The 18677-nt window shown below is 40.3% G+C and overlaps 1 long non-coding RNA gene and 1 pseudogene across 4 annotated transcripts in view, besides 1 other annotated feature; one reads left to right on the top strand and one right to left on the bottom strand.

Annotated features, from left to right (window-relative positions):
• The window catches only part of LOC124901661 (uncharacterized), a 32854-nt gene that overhangs the window by 10365 nt on the left and 3812 nt on the right, over positions 1-18677 (top strand). Inside the window, exon 1 of one of the 2 annotated variants that reach the window (XR_007060367.1) lies at positions 10917-11047. The exons of the other annotated variant lie outside the window; for it this stretch is intronic. This is a non-coding gene — a long non-coding RNA (uncharacterized LOC124901661). Of the gene's footprint in view, positions 1-10916; positions 11048-18677 lie in introns of those variants that run through there. 2 annotated transcript variants of the gene reach the window in all.
• Positions 7830-18677, bottom strand: part of INTS4P1 (integrator complex subunit 4 pseudogene 1) — a 93193-nt pseudogene continuing 82345 nt past the window's right edge. Inside the window, exons 16-18 of one of the 2 annotated variants that reach the window (NR_146906.1) lie at positions 10924-11066; positions 10116-10511; positions 7830-8987 (exon numbers count right to left, since the gene is read on the bottom strand). The product of NR_146906.1 is annotated as an integrator complex subunit 4 pseudogene 1, transcript variant 2 (transcript). The remainder of the gene's footprint in view (positions 8988-10115; positions 10512-10923; positions 11067-18677) is intronic. The other variant, NR_146905.1, reaches the window with a different exon arrangement.
• Positions 10745-11308: an enhancer, noted in NCBI's record as "NANOG hESC enhancer chr7:64691122-64691685 (GRCh37/hg19 assembly coordinates)". NCBI's record gives its function as "activates a minimal SCP1, AML or CMV promoter by ChIP-STARR-seq in naive H9 embryonic stem cells {active_cell/tissue: H9 hESC(naive)}" and the evidence as "EXISTENCE:reporter gene assay evidence [ECO:0000049][PMID:30033119]".

Below are 18677 nucleotides of genomic sequence, written 5' to 3'. Positions count from 1 at the left end.
TGGTGAAAACCCATCTCTACTAAATAACAAAAAAATTAGCTGAGTGTGGTGGCAGGTGCCGGTAATTCCAGCTACTTGGGAGGCTGAGGTGGGAGAATTGCTTGAACCCAGGAGGCGGAGGTTGCGGTGAGCCAAGATTGCACCACTGCACTCTCCAGCCTGGCGACAGAGCGAGACTCTGTCTCAAAAAAAAAAAAAAAAAAAAAAAAGAAAAAAGAAAAAGAAATATTATCTAGATATATAACAAACACTTAGAAGTCAACAACAAGAAATGAAGAACTGCCATGGTTTACATATATTTTATATTACATATGTTATTTATTTTTCATTTTTTTGACACGGAGTCTCACTCTGTGGCCCAGGCTGCAGTGCAATGGCACGATCTCCATGCTCACTGTAACCTCCACCTCCCAGGTTCAAGTGATTCTCCTGCCTCAGCCTCTTGAGTAGCTGGGATTACAGGCAGCTGCCACCACGCCAGTCTAATTTTTTTGTATTCTTAGTAGAGACGGGGTGTCACCATCTTGGCCAGGCTGGTCTCAAACTCCTGACCTCAAGTGATCTGCCCACCTCGGCCTTCCAAAGTGCTGAGCCTCAGATTACAAGCCACAGATTGTAAACCACCGATTACAAGCATGAGCCACTGCTCCCGGCCACATGTATTACTTTTTAGAATCCCCAACAGAATGAAATCCTAACATACCCAAATTATAATTTCTGAACGCTCTTTAAGTAACATATGTAAAGGCACAAGAAATGCTAAAAGAGGCCAGGTGTGGTGGCTGATGCCTGTAATCCCAATACTTTGGGAGGCCAAGGGGGGTGGATCACCTGAGGTGAGGAGTTCAAGACCAGCCTGACCAACTTAGCAAAACCCTGTCTCTACTAAAAATACAAAAATTAGCTGGATGTAGTGGCAGGCACCTGTAACCCCAGACACTCGGGAGGCTGAGGCAGGAGAATCGCTTGAACCTGAGAGGTGGAAGTTGCAGTGAGCTGAGACCAAGCCACTGCACTCCAGCTTGGGGGACAGAGGGAAACTCCATCAAAAAAAAAAAAAAAAAAGCTAAGGCTTTTTTGTATTCATGGTCTACTTCATTAAAATGTAATCTTTGAAGGGTGTTGTAGCCATAGACAGCTCTTTGGGCTGCTAGAGTTATAAGGAATGCATTGCTTCCCTCAAGGGCAAAGAGTGGCACTGAAAAATAACAATAGTTGTGACATGAATTTTTCAGGCATGGCTTCAATTCGACACATCAGAATGTCTAAGAATTCTAAAGACTGCTCTACTGCCACTGCACCAGATTTTTTTATATTGCTCCACCGACTATAGGAAATTTTTACTGAAATTAAGTTTTAATAAAATAACTGACTTATAAACTCTAACAAGGGGACAGAAAATTCGCCAGAGATATCAGTTCCTCCTGAAAAAGCCTCTTTTCTCAATACAATTTTTCTGAAGATACTTTACTGATTTCAGGTGGAATTTTAAATTCTCCTTAAAGACAGAAACAAGCAAAAGGACTAACTGACAAAAACGAATAAAAGTGTGCTCAAATTTACTGACAGGATCATGGGTACATTTAAATAATTAGACCCTACTGGTTTTAAGTAAAAAAGAAAATACCTTAAATTTCAAAGGGGTCTTTATTTTTGGGGAAACAAAAAGCCACTTTTGACCAACTGTCCCCCATATACACACACCCTGGTCCCCCAACCACCCGTCAAGAGGGCCATGTCAAGGCTCCTAAGAGAGGAGACTGTGTGGTCTCGGCAGTGCGGGACGCAGGCTCTGGAACCGCAGGGTCGCGATTGGTCTCATGCCAGCCCTCCTGGACCCGTAGCCAGAAGGACAGGGCAGGCGCCGAGGGGCCGGGGTGTTCCGCGGGCTGGTCCTTGCCGAGAGGAGGCTGGGGCACGGGCTTCCTGCTCGGGGAAGTTTGTTTCCGCTGCCCAGGAGGGCTCTGCAGCCGCCAGGGAGGGAACACAGCGGGGAGGAGGCCCCGAGCCAGACGATCCAGGAGCCCTGGGTGGCGCGGGCTAGGTGGCGGGGGTCGGAGAATAGGGGAGCAGGAGCCCGGCCACGCCAGCTTCTGTCTCTGCCCGCCTACGTAAGGAGCCGCCCTCTTTGTCCACCAGATTCCGGGAGGCGCTCTCTTCCCGCCGGTGCCGGAGCGGGACGCGGGGGTCGCCACCCTCTGGGAGACTGAGGACGCCAGGACACCCGCCCCTGCCATGGACGCCCCGCCCCGCCCCGCCCTCGCGCTCAGCCTGGCGGTGACCGTGGTGGCCAGCACCGCCTTGGAGCCCTGAGCAAGGGCAGCGCGGTGTGTGGTGAGCAGCAGGCGGGGAAGGAGGCCGCGGGCACCGAGGAGGGTTCGGGGCCCTGCAGGGGACGCTGGGGAACTGGACACAGGGGACTGGATGGGGAAAAGGCGCCGCGTGTAAGTGGCACTGCCAGGTTAGTCCCGGCTTCTGTTGCCACTCCTTCAGAAGATCACTGCTTGAGCCGGGACAGCGGTTGTGTGGCGCCAGGAGCTGCAGGGCCACCACCCAAGTGCGACGCCCTGGCGGGGAGCCTGGCCCGTGGTGTCCACAGACCCTGCCCCTAGGCCCCAAAGCCAGAGGCTGGAATTTGGAGGGTGGATGTGCAGGAGTCAACTGAAGCCCAGCCCCTGCCCGCAAGTGGCCAGCGTGATGCGGTGACACTTTAGTGCCACCACTGCCCCTACCCTACTCTCAAGCCTGGTGGGCTAAGAGATTTGTCTGCCCCATGGGGTGCACACCCATCACTAGGGAGAGGTAATGGGGGAGATGTCCCAGAAGTGTGGGACCGCCGACAGTCAGGGGCCTGCGAGAAAAGGAGGGCCTTCTAGGAGGCGCCCCGAGGCCAGAGAAGGAGAGGGTGCCCCAGGCCCGCCTTGGAAAGTTGACGCTGTCCCCGAGGTGTGGCGCTGGCGACTCCCAACCAAATCGCCAAGCGCTCTGTGTGCTATCTGCCCTGCACACGCGCTACCATACTCCCGGCTACCAACTAGAGAGGGGTGGCCTGGAGGGCGACTGCCAAGAGCCTGTTCCCCTGGAAACAGGCAACCCCCATCCTGGGCAAGGGGGGCACGGACACCCCCACCCCCAGCCTGGCGACCATGCATAGGGAGGCCCTTCACGGGTGAGCGAGGTGGATTGGAGTGGAGCAGGTGGCCCAGGGGGTCCCTGAGTGATTTAAAGGTGATTAAGCTGGGAGTGGAGCCATCCCGTTGGCGGAAACGTTGCGTGTGGGTGGGCTTGGAGGGCGATGTCTGCGGGGACCTCTAGGGCTCTAGGCTGCCAGTTGCCTGGCTAGACTCTTGGTGTCCACCTTGAACCTCAGTTTTCTTCCTTGTCCCAGACAATGAATATGGCAGAGCTGTTTTGATTATTAGGCCAGATATTTCTGGTGAGCATTTATTAGCCTGCCTGGTCTCTGGATTTTTTCTTTCCTGACTTTGTAAGGAAACTCTACTGCCCAATGTGTACTCTTGGGGAGTGAGGTGGGGAGGCAGGAAGACAGGACTCTCACCTTTGGCTTCAGAGTCCCTTCTGGGTGCCCCCTCCCCTTAGGCTCAATTAAAGCACATAGCTGGCAACAAATCTCCTACCCATGACAGCTGAAGAGTCCAAAACAAGATGGGTTCCTTTCCTGACCCCAGGGCCTCATCTCACCTCCAAATTAAAATCCCTTAGGGTGGTCAGCTTCAGACAGCAGTCTAAATTTGATTTTTGTTCTCTGGGGCCGACCCAAAGCCCTTATGATGGAGTGTTGCTCCCCCTCCATACTACCCCATGCCTCCCCCAATGCATTGGAGGACCTTAACTGTAGTGACCTGGAATTGGGAACAAGGTTCCCCAGCAGAAAATGTGATCCTCCCCAGGAGGCTGGCCTGGCATAGCCTCATGGACATCAGTCTTGGGTCAAGAGACTCAGGGCAGGGAGAGACTCTCACCACCCCCTCCCCCACCCACTTTCACATGCTGCAGGGTGCTTCCTCACTCAACACCCTACAGTGGTGGAGGCTCCAGTCATGGCTGGCCTCTGGGCTGCTCCATGTCCCTTCCCAGATCCCAGGAGAGGAGCAGATCCTGAAAGAGGATCTAAATTTCTCAGCTCAGCTGAGCCCTCGGCCACTACCCTGGAACACACACTTTGGTTTTCTCGCCCTGAGTCCCTTCTTGCTCCTGCCCATCTGGCTATCCCAGGCAGGTGATTGGGTTTCTGCCCCATGTCTGGTTGGGCTGTGAGGGTCACTGGCAGGCCACCTTTCAGAAGGCACCGTCTGGCAGTGGGCAGACTGTCATTGTGGTCTCTCAGGTCCAGAAATAGTCTCTGCCACAGCCTGCTGGGCTCTCTCCATCACCCTGTGGGCCACCACCCACCCTGGGAGGCCTGGGAGGGCAGCTCAGAGCTCTGGGAGGTGCCTTTTCCCACCTTCTGCCCACATTGCTCCCACCCGTGCCTCAGTGTCCTCCTCTGAGGGATGGATGTGTCTCTGCAAGTAGATGACAGTGAGGTTACCATGGGGAGGGGCTCCCTCCCTCCTCTGTCCTGGGCCCCTGGTGCCTCCCTCTGACAGATGCTGGCCCAGACACCCCATGAATCTTCACAGGAAGGCAGCTCCCACCACAGCCCCCAAGAAAAAGGAAAGCCAACTGGGCTGTGCGGGAGGGGGTGGCAGCAGCCCTAGACACCAAGATAGGCAGGAGGCCAAGCCTCTAGAACTCTATCCTTATTAGGTGCCCACCAGGTCCTGAAACACTGCATAGGGTGGCCTAAGGCCTCAGATTCTAGTGGGCAGACACCACCCCACTGCCTTCTAGGTTCTCCACACTGTGGGCATCTGAGTTCACCCTCCTGGAAAACTGCTACAAATGCCTGTCCTGGCTCATCCACCCAGCTGGGATGCCCGCTGGGTTCTGGACCATGCCCCTGTGGGCCTGCCTCTGTGTGCCTCCTTTGGAGGGTAGGGGCTTCCCTGGAAGATGCCCTCATGCCTTGAAGTTCTCCAGTTCAGATTGGAGCACACTGGGCCTCTCAACAGGAGTGGCAGCTTGGAGGAAGCAGACAGAGAAGAGAGGAGACACACAGCCCGGCCCTGAGAATGTCCAGGGTTTGTGGGACATCGTGGTGATGCTCATGGGAGTCTAGTCCAGCCCAGGCAGGAGTCCTCAAAAGGCCAACATTCTCCCTCCGCAGAAGAGGAAACTGAGTCTGGAGTTAGCCAGAAGGACCCATTGAAGGGGTCAGGTCAGATGGGCCTCTGTTCCTCACCTCTGTTGTGGCCTTCATGTGCCAGGGTTCCCCTACTGGACTCGGCCCCAGCAGATGGACAAAAAGCTGCTGGCCACGCCAGCTGTTGAACCCATTCACTTTTGCTGTGTGGCCACCAGCAATCCAACACTCTCCATTTCCTGGCTGGAGAACCACAAGGAAGTCCATGAAGTGCATCACATCAGGGCATCAAGGTCAGCCTGGTGGTGGAGACATGACCTTTGGACCTGGGCGAGTGTGAGTGTGGGGTCCAGGGTGGAGGACTCTGCAGGGCAGGGCCTGTGATCCAGTCCTCTCACCTGAGGATCCACCCACAGTAGTGGCACCAGCTGTGGAGCCTGGTCATGGAGAGCCTAGTGGAGAATAAGCTCCCCATTGTGTTAGCTCATTCTGACACTGCTATAAAGAACTACCTGAGACTAAGTAATTTACGAAGAAAAGAGGTTTAATTGACTCACAGTTCTACAGGCTATACAGGAAGCATGGCTGGGGAGGCTCAGGAAACTTACAATCGTGGCGGAAGGTGAAGAGGAAGCCGACCTATCCTACATGGATGGAGCAGGAGGAAGAGAGAGTAAAGAGGGAAGTGCCACACACTTTTAAACAACCGGATCTCATGAGAACTCACTATCACAAGAACAGCAAGGGGGAAGTGAAGTTCACACCCATGATTCAATCACTGCCCATCAAGCTCCTTCTCCAACACGTGGGGATCACGATTTGATATGAGATTTGGATGGAGACACAGAGCAAAACAGTATCAGGCAGCAACCTTCAGGCATATGGCCTGGACGTGCTGGGCGAGGGCTGCAGGCAGAGTCAGGCAGTGAGGAATCTGTCCAGCTATTGTGTGCCCCTACACATTGCTGTCCTCACTGGCCCATCCTACATACATGGCTGCTGCTCAACCAGATGGTGGTGCTGGGCAGTGAGGTGGAGCTCCACTGTGCGGTGTGAAGTGGCTTAGCATGGGGAGGTGAACAGCAGGAAGGTGGGCACCGACGGCATGCCGTACCTCAGCATGCTCAAGGTGGATGTCGCTGCTGGATGGATGCAAGGGGTGGGCAGGCTTGTTACCAACGGAAGAGATCCGAGTTACTGGGGGGCGAGTTTGTGTGGGTCTCCAGCAACTTCAATTTTTGCCTCCCCAGAAGAAAGAATTCGACTGAAGGAGCAGAAAAAGAGACCAAGGCAAGTTTCAAAGCAGGAATGGAAGTTTATTTAAAAGGCTTTAGAGCAGGAAAGAACGCTTGGAAGAGATCCAAGTGGGTGCCTGAAGGTTAAAAAGAGGGAAAAAAAGGGGGTCTTTAACTTTGATCCCGGGACTTTATAGACTCACCTCTTTCCCCTAGGGTGGGCTTTCTGCAGATGTGATGCCCTCCTTACCCTTGGGAATTGAGTACATGCAGTATGTATGTATGTAAGTTTAGGAACTTAAACGCATGCCCATCTGAGGCTTTCTTTTCTCTGGTGGAGTGTACCCAGAAGACCATACTTTGCCTTTTTTGTCTGTCAGTGTGCATGCCCAGGAAGTTGCTTTTCCCTGGGGCCTGCCATTAATTAACACTTAAATGTTAACAGGTGTGGACCATTGGGAACTGGCCTCTCCCTGGCTTTCACTGCCAATTTATCACTTTTAGTGAGGCAATGCCATAATTGCCAAACCATCACCTAACATTTTTAGTGGGTGAGGTAGGGGAGAGCCCTCTCCTGCCCCTATCATGTCTATCTATCTACCTATAACAGGCTGGATTGTGGGGGCTCCACTTTACTGAAATCTACCACCATTATAGAAGTTTTAAAGGAGCCAGTGAAAGACAAATTTATGATACCAGCCAGGAGACAAAACCCTCTGTAGTGAGCAGTTCTGGATATGAACTTGCTGCTGGTTCATAGCACCTTCTATAAACCACGGTCTGAAATTAGATGCATTTCCTCCCAAAGTGAGAATATATGTGCCAGTAAATAACAATGGGAAGCATTTCTGTGACTTTTGTTCCTCATAATCCTTTCAAAGACATTTCTTTCTCCCTCTGCAACTTTGTACTCTCTGAATTCACTCACTGAGTAAAGAATTCCTTGAGTAAAGAATCCCACACATAATCTTCTCTTTTGTGTGTGTGTGTGTGTGTGTGTGTGTGTGACAGAGTTTCACTCTTGTTGCCCAGGCTGGAGTGCAATGGTGCAATCTCGGCTCACTGCAACCTCCACCTCCCGAGTTCAGATGATTCTCCTGCCTCAGCCTTCTGAGTAGCTAAGATTACAGGCACACGCCACCACGCCCAGCTAATTTTTATATTTTTAGTAGAGATGGGGTTTTGCCATGTTAACCGGGCTGGTCTTGAACTCCTGACCTCAGGTGATCCACCTGCCAACGGCCTCCCAAAGTGCTGGGGTTAGCCACCGTGGCGTTAGCCACCGTGCCTAGCCAAACTTGTCTTAACGTTACTGGAAAAGGGTCTGAATCCATATCCCAAAAGAGGGTTCTTGCACCTCCCATAAGAAATAATTCAGAATGAGTTCATACAGTAAAGTGAAAGCAATTTTATTAGAGATGTAAATAAAAGAATGACTACTCCATAGACAGAGCGGTGAGATTGGCTGCTCGATTGACTATACTTATAGTTGTTTCTTGATTATATGCTAAACAAAGGGTAGATTATTCATGAGTTTTTCAGGAAAGGGGCAGAAATTTTCCAGAACTGAGGGTTCTTCCCCATTTTAGAGGCTACAGGGTAACTTCCAGATCTTGCCATGGCATCTGTAAGCTGTCATGGCACTGGTGGTAGAGTCTTTTTGCATGCAAATGCATTATACTGGCATATAATGAGCAGTGAGAATGAGCATCACCATCTTGGTTTTGGTGGGTTCTGGCTGGCATTTATTTAAACCACATCCTGTTTTATCAGCAGAGTCTTCGTGACCTATATCTTATGCTGGCCTTCTATCTCATCCTGATAGAAGGTTAGAATGCCTAACCTCCTGGGAATGCAGCCCAGTAGGTCTCAGCCTTATCTCACCCAGCTGCTATTTAAGATGGAGTCACTCTGATTTTTAAGCAGAATATCTCTCTGACACCTTCACAGGTGGGAACTGGAGTGCACGGGTGCTGGCAGGGGCAAACTCCACTCACTCAGCCCACTGTGCTCCACCACTTGTGGGAGGGGGAGCATGCAGGTGACTGGGTGCAGGAGCTGAGACATTTTTGGACTCTGGCAGGAGCAAACTCTGTACTGGCCCCATGGCAGCATCTGGGGGATGCTCATGACTTCTGAAACCCCAGAAGGACTCTTACAGTGCCCTTTTAGCTTTGCTGTCCATGGATAGCTTAAGTGTTAACAGCTCAGTGGAGGGACAGTGTGATAGCCTTTTGCACCCATACTCATGGCACCTGAGTTCTTGTCTGGCATCCAGGAGGAATGAGGTTGCAAGAACAAATTGAAGATGGTAAATGTGAGATATTTTATTGCCAATCAAAGTGACTCTCAGCAGGAAGGGGAGCAGAAAAGGATATTGAGCAAGATTATCTTCCCCTGAAGTCTGGTCATCCCTGGCCAGACTTTTCTCTGAAATTATTCCATCATGCTTTCTCTGTGAAGTCAAGCTCCTTCTCTCTAATGTCCAATCATAGTCTCCAATGTCCAGCTGCTTCTCCTCTCTCTGCTGGCTGAGCCTGGGGTTTCTGTGGGCACAAGAAGCAGGGTGGGGTGGGACATGGGTGGTTTTGGAAAAGGCAACATTCAAGCGGGAAAACAGAGATGTAAATTTTCACTTTGAGCAGTGCTATCAGGCTTTTTGGCATGAGGGTGGGGCCCTTACCAGGGATCTGCCCTCCCCAAATTTCTCTGCCTCCTGTCCCTATCGTTTGAATGCCTCTGACATTAAGATCCACTACAACATTATGGGAAAAGTCTATTGGAATTATAGTCAATGAGAAATGGAAGAATTAGGATGGGCTATTCTGAAAGGCGTAGCATTAGTTACATTTGCGTTTACAAGTTTTTTATTAACCTATATTTATTACTTATGAATATATATCATGTTTTATTCTGTCTAGTTTAAACATATACACTAGATAATAAAAGTGGTCCCCACTGTGAAAGAAAAATAAACCTCTGGACCCCCAAATCACTAAGCCAATGGAAAAGTCAAGCTGGAAACTATGTCAGGCAAACCTGCCTCCTATTTTATTTCTAAATAAGATAGCTACAAATATAAAAAGCTACATATTTTCCTCACAATTTGCCCATAAAGAAATTCCTTGTCAACAAAGGGCAGACAGAACTCAAAGTCATCCCTCTGAGGCTCATCTGAGACAAATGCATATCTGATTTCTTCCTCTGCCCTATTGTTTATGTAAAAATGCAGATTCACTGAGGCAGACAATTTTGTATTCAGTGAAGGGCTTATCAAGGACTCAAAATAATGTAATCTTTTGTCTCTTATCTACTTATGACCTGGAAGCCCCCAACTGCAGTTGTCCCACCTTACCAGATCGAACCAATGTACCTCTTACACATATTGATTAATGTCTCATGTCTTCCTAAAATATATGAAAGCAAGCTCTACATCGACCACCTTGTGCACATGTCATCAGGACCTTCTGAGGCTGTGTCACAGGCATGTCTTTAACCCTGGCAAAAAAAACTTTTTAAATTGATTGAGACCTGTCTTAGATACCCTTTAGTTCACACAGCCAAGGCCCTGCTAGCTGGCCACTACCACACCCAGCTGATGCATCGCCATTGCATGGGCTCTGGTTTCTTGATAACAATTGTTTTATTTGGGTAGCAGATGGGCAGATGTGTACCTGAGATTGCAGCACTGTGCTTTTAGGTGACGTGGGATGTTCCAAGCACCAACTTCCAGCCAGTCTATCTTGTGATTGTTTAAAATTCTTTAGTGTAGTGTGAAAATGGGAATAAACAGCTCCTGAATGCTAACAATGGCTGTTAGCACATTTTAGGGTGCTCTAAGGTAGCCATGGAGAAGTTCTGGGTCCTTTTGTGGCTCTTCTCTCAGCAGCTGGTGGAATGGTTTTCTTGGGTCTTGTGATCCAGGCTGTATGTATGTAAGGGGAGTTGAGGGCAGGGTGGGGAAAAGAGAAGAGATCCAGATTCCTAGGGGGCACATCCAGGTATTCATTATTCTCCTGGCTTGGTGAGTTTCTTATTTAAATATTTTTCTTGTTAATGGTTCATGTGTCCTGAACAAGGAGGTGAGAGAAGAAAAATATCTCAGAACAGTCTCAGGTCTGTGAGGGCTGCAAAATTTATCAAGCACACAGAAATGAAAGTATGGGACTTCAGTCTCACCCCACACCTGTGCCCAGGGACAATTGCTTTAAAAAGTTTCATTTTGGACTAGCTGTCTCACCCATTATTTCTCTTTCTGGGAATTTGTAAAACAAAGAAAAACATGTAGCCAATCAATAGCTTATGAATTCAATGTAAATTATTGGTAAACAACTTAGAAACTGCCTTGTTGTTTTTTTCAAAAATACCCACTTTTAACAGTTGTTAATTGAAATGTATATTCAGGTCAACTTAAATCTATTCTCCTTGTGGCCACCCTCAATATTTTACTTTGAAGACATTATTTTCAAATTAGATTCTGACCTTTTTGATTATTTTAGGCTCCCTGGGGCCTGGCCTGGAACACCCTCCTAGGTGTAAATAGCCCAGCCATCAGCCACCTTCTTAGCAGAGGAGATGAATCAACAGCAGGTCAAAGACACATGCAGTGAGTAGCTCTCTGGGACCTGAGTGCTAATTACAAGGAGAGTCACACAGGTATTCCTGAATGCTTGGACAGCCTGACCTTTCCTGAACCAACTCCTACACCAGCTTTTTCAAGCACACCTTGACCTCTTGTTGGTCAGTCCTCTGGGGTAAAAACTGATCTTCAGGGTTGTCTCCAACAGGAGAGAAACATCAGGTTATTAAAACCTCAGGAATGGCTGGTCATGGTGGCTCACGCCTGTAATCCCAGCACTTTGGGAGGCCGAGGCGGGTGGATCACCTGAACCAGGTTGGGAGTTCGAGACCAGCCTGACCAACATGGAGAAACTCAGTCTCTACTAAAAATACAAAAATTAGTTGGGCGTGGTGGTGGGCACCTGTAATTCCAGCTACTCAGGAGGCTGAGGCAGGGAAAAGTGCTTGAGCCCAGGAGTGGGAGTTTGCAGTTAGCCAAGATCACACCACTGCACTCCAGCCTGGGTGACAGAGTAAGATTCCATCTGAAGAAAAAAAAATACAAAAATTAGACGGATGTGGTGGCACATGCTTGTAATCCCAACTACTCAGGAGGCTGAGTCATGAGAATCTCTTGAACCCTGGAGGCAGAGGCTGCATTGAGCTGAGATACCACCACTGCACTCCACCCTGGGTGACAGAATGAGACTCTGTCTAAAAAAAACTTACATTAAAGAAAAATCAACTCAAGATGGATTGAAGACTTAAATCTAATATGTGAAACTATACAAATTTTAGAAGATAATATAGAAAAAACTCTTCTAGACATTGGCTTAGGCAAAGAGTTTATGACCAAGTTCCCAAAACCAAATGCAACAAAAACAAAGATAAATAAATGTGACTTAATTAAACTAAAAAGCACAGCAAAAGAAATAATCTGAAGATTAAACAGACAACCCACAGAGAGGGAAAAAAATATTCACGAACTATCCATCCAACAAAGGACTAATACCCAGAATCTGCAAGAAACTCAAACAAATCAGCAAGAAAAAAACAAATAATCACATTAAAAAGTGGGCTAAGTACATAAATAGACAATTCTCAAAAGAAGATATACAAATGGCCAAAAAATGTATGAAAAAATGCTCAACATTACTAATTATCAGGGAAATACAAATCAAAACAATGTGGGCCGGGCGTGGTGGCTCACGCCTGTAATCCCAGCACTTTGGGAAGCCCAGGCGGGTGGATCACGAGGTCAGGAGATGGAGACCATCCTAGCTCACACGGTGAAACCCCATCTCTACTAAAATTACCAAAGAATAGCCGAGTGTGGTGGCAGGCGCTTGTAGTCCCAGCTACTCGGGAGGCTAAGGCAGGAGAATCGCTTGAACCTGGGAGGCGGAGGTAGCAGTGAGCTGAGATTGCACTGCTGCACTCTAGACTCGGGTACAGAGCGAGACTCTGTCTCAAAAAACAAAACAAACAAATAACAAAAAACAAAAAACAGAAAAAACACACAATGTGATACCACCTTACTCCTGAAAGAATGGCTATGATTAAAAAATCAGGCTGGGTGTAGTGGCTCACGCCTGTAATCCCAGCACTTTGGGAGGCTGAGGTGGGCAGATCATCTGAGGCCAGGAGTTTGAGACTAGTCTGGCCAGCATGGTGAAATCCCATCTCTACTAAAAATGCAAAAATAGCCAGGCGACGTGGCGTGCACCTGTAGTCCCAGCTACTTGGGAGGCTGAGGCAGGAGAATTGCTTGAACCTGGGAGGAAGAGGTTGCAGCGAGCCAAGATTTTGCCACTGGACTCCAGCCTGGGTGACAGAGTGAGACTCCTTCTCAATATACATAAATATAAATAATATATATAATATAAATATAATAAATATATATTTATTATAATATAATTATGTAATATACATAACATAATATATAATATACATAATAAAAATATAATATATGTAATAAATATATATTATACATAATAAATATGTATAATATATATTATATATAATATATATATTACATTATCTATAATATATATCATATAATATATACCATATATAATATATAATATATCACACAATATATCATAATATATAATATATATCATATAATATATAATCATATATAATATATATCATAATATATAATCATATATAATATATCATATAATATATATCATATATATAATATATAACATATATAATAAATACATAACATTAATATATATTATATAATAAATATATATCATATAATAAATACATAATATATTATATATTAAATATATAATATATTAAATATATAATATATAATAAATATATATTATATAAGAAATATATAATATACAATAAATATATAACATATAATATATAATATGTTAATTATAATATATAATACATAATATATAACATATATAATACATAATATATATTACATAATATATAATACATAATATATATTATATATAATACACATAACATATATTAATTATATATTATATATGTTATATAAATATATATTATATATTATATGTTATATATATTTATTATATATTATATTACATATTATATAAATATATATTATATATACTTATATATAATAAATATATAATATATAATAAATATATATTATATAATATATATATTATATAATATATAGTATATATATTTTACATATATAATATATATAATAATATATTATATATAATAATAAGATATAATTATATATATCTTATATAATATATATATAATATATAATAACTATATATAATATATTATATAATAAATATATATAAAATATAATATATAATATATAAGATTATATATGAAAATATATATTCATATTTATAAATATATAATAAATTACATAATAAATTTATTATATATTTATAAATATATAATAAATTATATAATAATTATATATTTATAAATATGATAAATTACATAAATATTTTATATAAATTTATAAAACATAATTTATATATAAATATATAATATATGTAATAAATATATATTATATAATAAGTATATAATATATATAATATATATTTATATAATATAATATATAACATATATAATAAATATATTATATAATATATAATAAATATATTATATATTATATATAATATATCTTATATAATATATATTATTTATATAATAAATATATAATATATAACATATACTATATAACATGTTTATAATAAATATGTAATATATAATATATAATATATAGTTATATGATATATAATATAATATATAATATACTTATATAATATATAAACATTATATTATATATTATATAATATATATCATATATTATATAATATATAAATATAATGTATATATTATATAAATATAATGTATATTATATAATATATAATATATAGTTATATGATATATAATATATAATATACTTATATAATATATACATTATATTATATATTTATATAATATATATAATATATATTATATAATATATAATATAATGTATATATTATATAAATATAATGTATATTATATAATATACAATATATAATGTATATTTATATAATATATAATGTACATTTATATAATATATAATGTATACTTATATAATATATAATGTATATTTATATAATTGTATAATATATAATATATAATGTATAATTACATAAATATTTATATAATAATATAATATAAATATATAATATAAATATAATATATATTATAATATATATAAAATTTATATATTATATATATTATGTATTATAATATATATTTATATATTATATGTTAATATATAATATATATTTATATATTATATATTAATATATAATATATATTATATATTAATATATAATATATATTTATATATTATATAAATATGTAATATATATAAATTACATATTTATATAATATATAAATATGTAATATATAATATATAAATATATAATTTATGTAATATATAAATATATAATTTATGTAATATATAAATATACATTTATATATTATATATAAATGTATATTTATATAATATATAAATATAATATATATAATATATAGTTACATAATATACAAATATAATATATATAGTTACATAATATACAAATATAATATATGATATATAGTTACGTAATATATAAATATATGATATATAGTTATGTAATATGTAAATATATGATAGTTATATAATATATAATATATATGATATATATTAATATAATATATAAATATAATATATATGATATATATTAATACATATAAATATAATATATATGATATATATTAATACATATAAATATAATATATATGATATGTATTTATATATTAATATATATGATATGTATTTATATAATATATAAATATATATGTATTTATATAATATATAAATATACAATATGTATATAATATAGAAATACAATATACAATATGTATATACTATATAAATATAATATACAATATGTATATATTATAGAAATATATACAATATGTATTTATGTTATATAATATATATGTATTTATGTTATATAATATATATGTATTTGTTATATAAATGTAATATATATGTATTTATATGTTATATAAATATAATATATAATATGTATTTATGTTATATAAATATAATATATAATATGTATTTATATGTCATATAAATATAATATATATGTATTTATGTTATATAAATATAAGTATTTATATAATATATAAATATAATATATATGTATTTATATAATAAATATAATATATAATATATAATATGTATTTATATAATATACAAATATAATATGTGAATATAATATATGAATATAATATATAAATATAATATATAAATATAATATATTTATATAATATATATAAAAATATATATTACATATTATATATATTTATATATAATTGAAAAAAAGTTGGTATAGATGTGATGAAAAGGAACACTTTTCCACTGCTGATGTGAATGTTAACTGGTGCAATAAATATGGAGAACAGCATGGCGATTCCTTAAAGAACTAAAAGTTGGACTACCATTTGATCCAGCAATCTCAGTACTGGGTATCTACACAGAGGAAAATAAGTCATTATATGAAAAAGACACTTGCACACGCATGTTTATAACAGCGCAATTTGCAATAGTAAAAATATGGAAACAGCCTAAATGCCCATCAACCGACTGGATAAAGAAAATAGGGTATATGTATATATACTATGGAATACTACCCAGCCATGAAAAGGAAGAAAACGATGGCACTCACAGCAATCTAGATAAAGTTGGAGATCATTATGCTAAGTGAAGTAACTCAGGAATGGAAAACCAAGCGTTGTATGTTCTCACTTTTTAGTGGGGGCTAAACTAGAGGATGTAAAGGCATAAGAATTATGTAACATAATGGACTCTGGAAACTTGGGGAAAGGGCGGGGGGTGGTGAGGGATAAAAGACTACACATTGGGTACAGCATACACTGCTGGGGAGATGATGCACCAAAATCTCACAAATCACCACAAAAGAACTTATTCATGTAACCAAACACCACCTCTTTTGAAATAATAATGATAAAAACAAAAAACACAAACAACTCCCTAAGTTTAAGTTTATATGTTTTGGCCAATTTTTTTTTTTTTTCCCAGAAAGGATCTCCCTCTGTCACCCAGGATGGAGTGTAGTAGCTTGATCATGGCTTGCTGCAGCCTCAGCCTTCCGGGCTCAGGCAATTCTCCTTCCTCAGCCTCCTGAATAGTTGGTATTACAGGTGCAGGCCACCATGCCCAAATAATTTTTGTATTATGTGTAGACATATGGTTTTGCCATGTTGCTCAGGCTGGTCTCATATTCCTGGATTTAAACAGTCTTTATGTCTTGGCTTTTTAAAGTGCTAGGATTGCAAGCATGAGCTACCATGCATGACTAGAATCTTATTTTTACATGATATAGAAAAGTTAAATATATTTAGATCTGTTAGTTAACAGAAAATTTGAGAAAATATTTTTATTAAAATACAAAATGGTTTTTATCTAAAAATAATGGTACAAAACATTCAAAATTACTTCCTGGAAATTTCACTAAAAATTTGGTTGCTCAGAGTTAATGTAATTAATATGTATATTTAAAACTACTAGATTTAAGGAATAACAATTTGGTATAGAGAGTGTATAAACAAAAACAAAGCATGCTTTCATGAAGAAAGTTAGAAACATTTTGTCTAGTTTGAAATTACTTAAAGGTTGTCTCAAATTGAAAAAATAAGATGAATGTAGATTAAAATATTAGAAGTTAAAAATATTATAAAATATGTACAGAAATCTAGAGTGGACAAAAATAATATATTTGATGGATTTATTTTTAAAGTTTCACCAAAATTAACTTTAGTATTGATAATATACTAATACAAAAGTAAAAGCTGATTTTCTTTTGAACAAAATTTTATGTATTATTATTAATATGACACAGTAATGTATTTTTGTTTACCTTTTGAATAAATTTTAAAAGAGAGGTAGAATTTTTCTCATACTGCCTTTTTTCAGATTTTTGATTGAAAAACTTAATCTCCTGCATCAAACAGTAAAATGTTTTGTTTTTAAAAATCTTTTAATCATCACTTTGGCTAAATGAATGACTATTATTTTACGGTGACCTGTGATCCTATTTTGGTCAAGTATTTTAACCCTCTGACATATTTGACAGTCTTTCTAAAATCAAATTTCAGCTTAAAAATTGTCTTTTTGTGGCCGGGCATGGTGGCTGACACCTGTAATCCCAGCACTTTGGAAGGCCGAGATGGGTGGATCTCCTGAGGTCAGGAGTTTGAGACCAGCCTGGGCAACATGGTAAAACCCCATCTCTACTAAAAATACAAAAAATTAGCTGGTCATGGTGACAAACACCTGTAATCCCAGCTACTCAGGAGGCTAGGGCAGGAAAATTACTTGAAACTAGGAGGCAGAGGTTGTAGTGACCCAAGATCACGCCACTGCACTCCAGCCTCGGCAACAAGAGTGAAATTGTTTAAAAAAGACTTTTTTTTTTTTTTTGACAAAGTCTTGCTCTGTTGCCCAGGCCGGAGTACAGTGGCCTGATCTCAGCTCACTGCAGCCTCCACCTCCTGGGTTCAAGAGATTCTCCTGCCTCAGCCTCCCAAGTAGTTGGGATTACAGACGTGTGCCACCATGACCGGCTAATTTTTGTACTTTTAGTAGAGATGGCGTTTCACCATGTTGGCCAGGCCAGTCTCGAACTTCTGACCTCGAGTGATCCGCTGGCCTCGGCCTCCCCAAGTACTGGGATTACAGGCATGAGCCACGATGCCCAACCTTAAAATTATTGGTTTTTGACCCCTAACTTTTAGATGCTACAGAGAGCCAATGCAACATCCAAGAGAGTGATAAACAGGATTATTTGATATGTTAAATTGCATGGGAAGCACGGTCAAATTAAAAATGATGTTTGGGTCAGGCGCGGTGGCTCACACCTGTAATCCTAGCACTTTGGGAGGCTGAGGCAGGTGGATCACAAGGTCAGGAGTTCGTGACCAGCCTGGCCAACATGATGAAACCCCGTCTCTATCAAAGATACAAAAAATTACCTGGACATGGTGGCACATGCCTGTAAATCCCAGCTACTTGGGAGGCTGAGCCAGGAGAATCACTTGAACCCAGGAGGTGGAGGTTGCAGTGAGCCGAGAGCATGCCATTGCAC

The sequence above is a fragment of the Homo sapiens genome, chromosome 7 (assembly GCF_000001405.40).
Source record: "Homo sapiens chromosome 7, GRCh38.p14 Primary Assembly".
In the NCBI taxonomy this organism is placed as follows: domain Eukaryota; kingdom Metazoa; phylum Chordata; class Mammalia; order Primates; family Hominidae; genus Homo; species Homo sapiens.
Note: the sequence above shows the minus strand (reverse complement) of the source record. Positions and strands in the feature narration are given on the sequence as shown.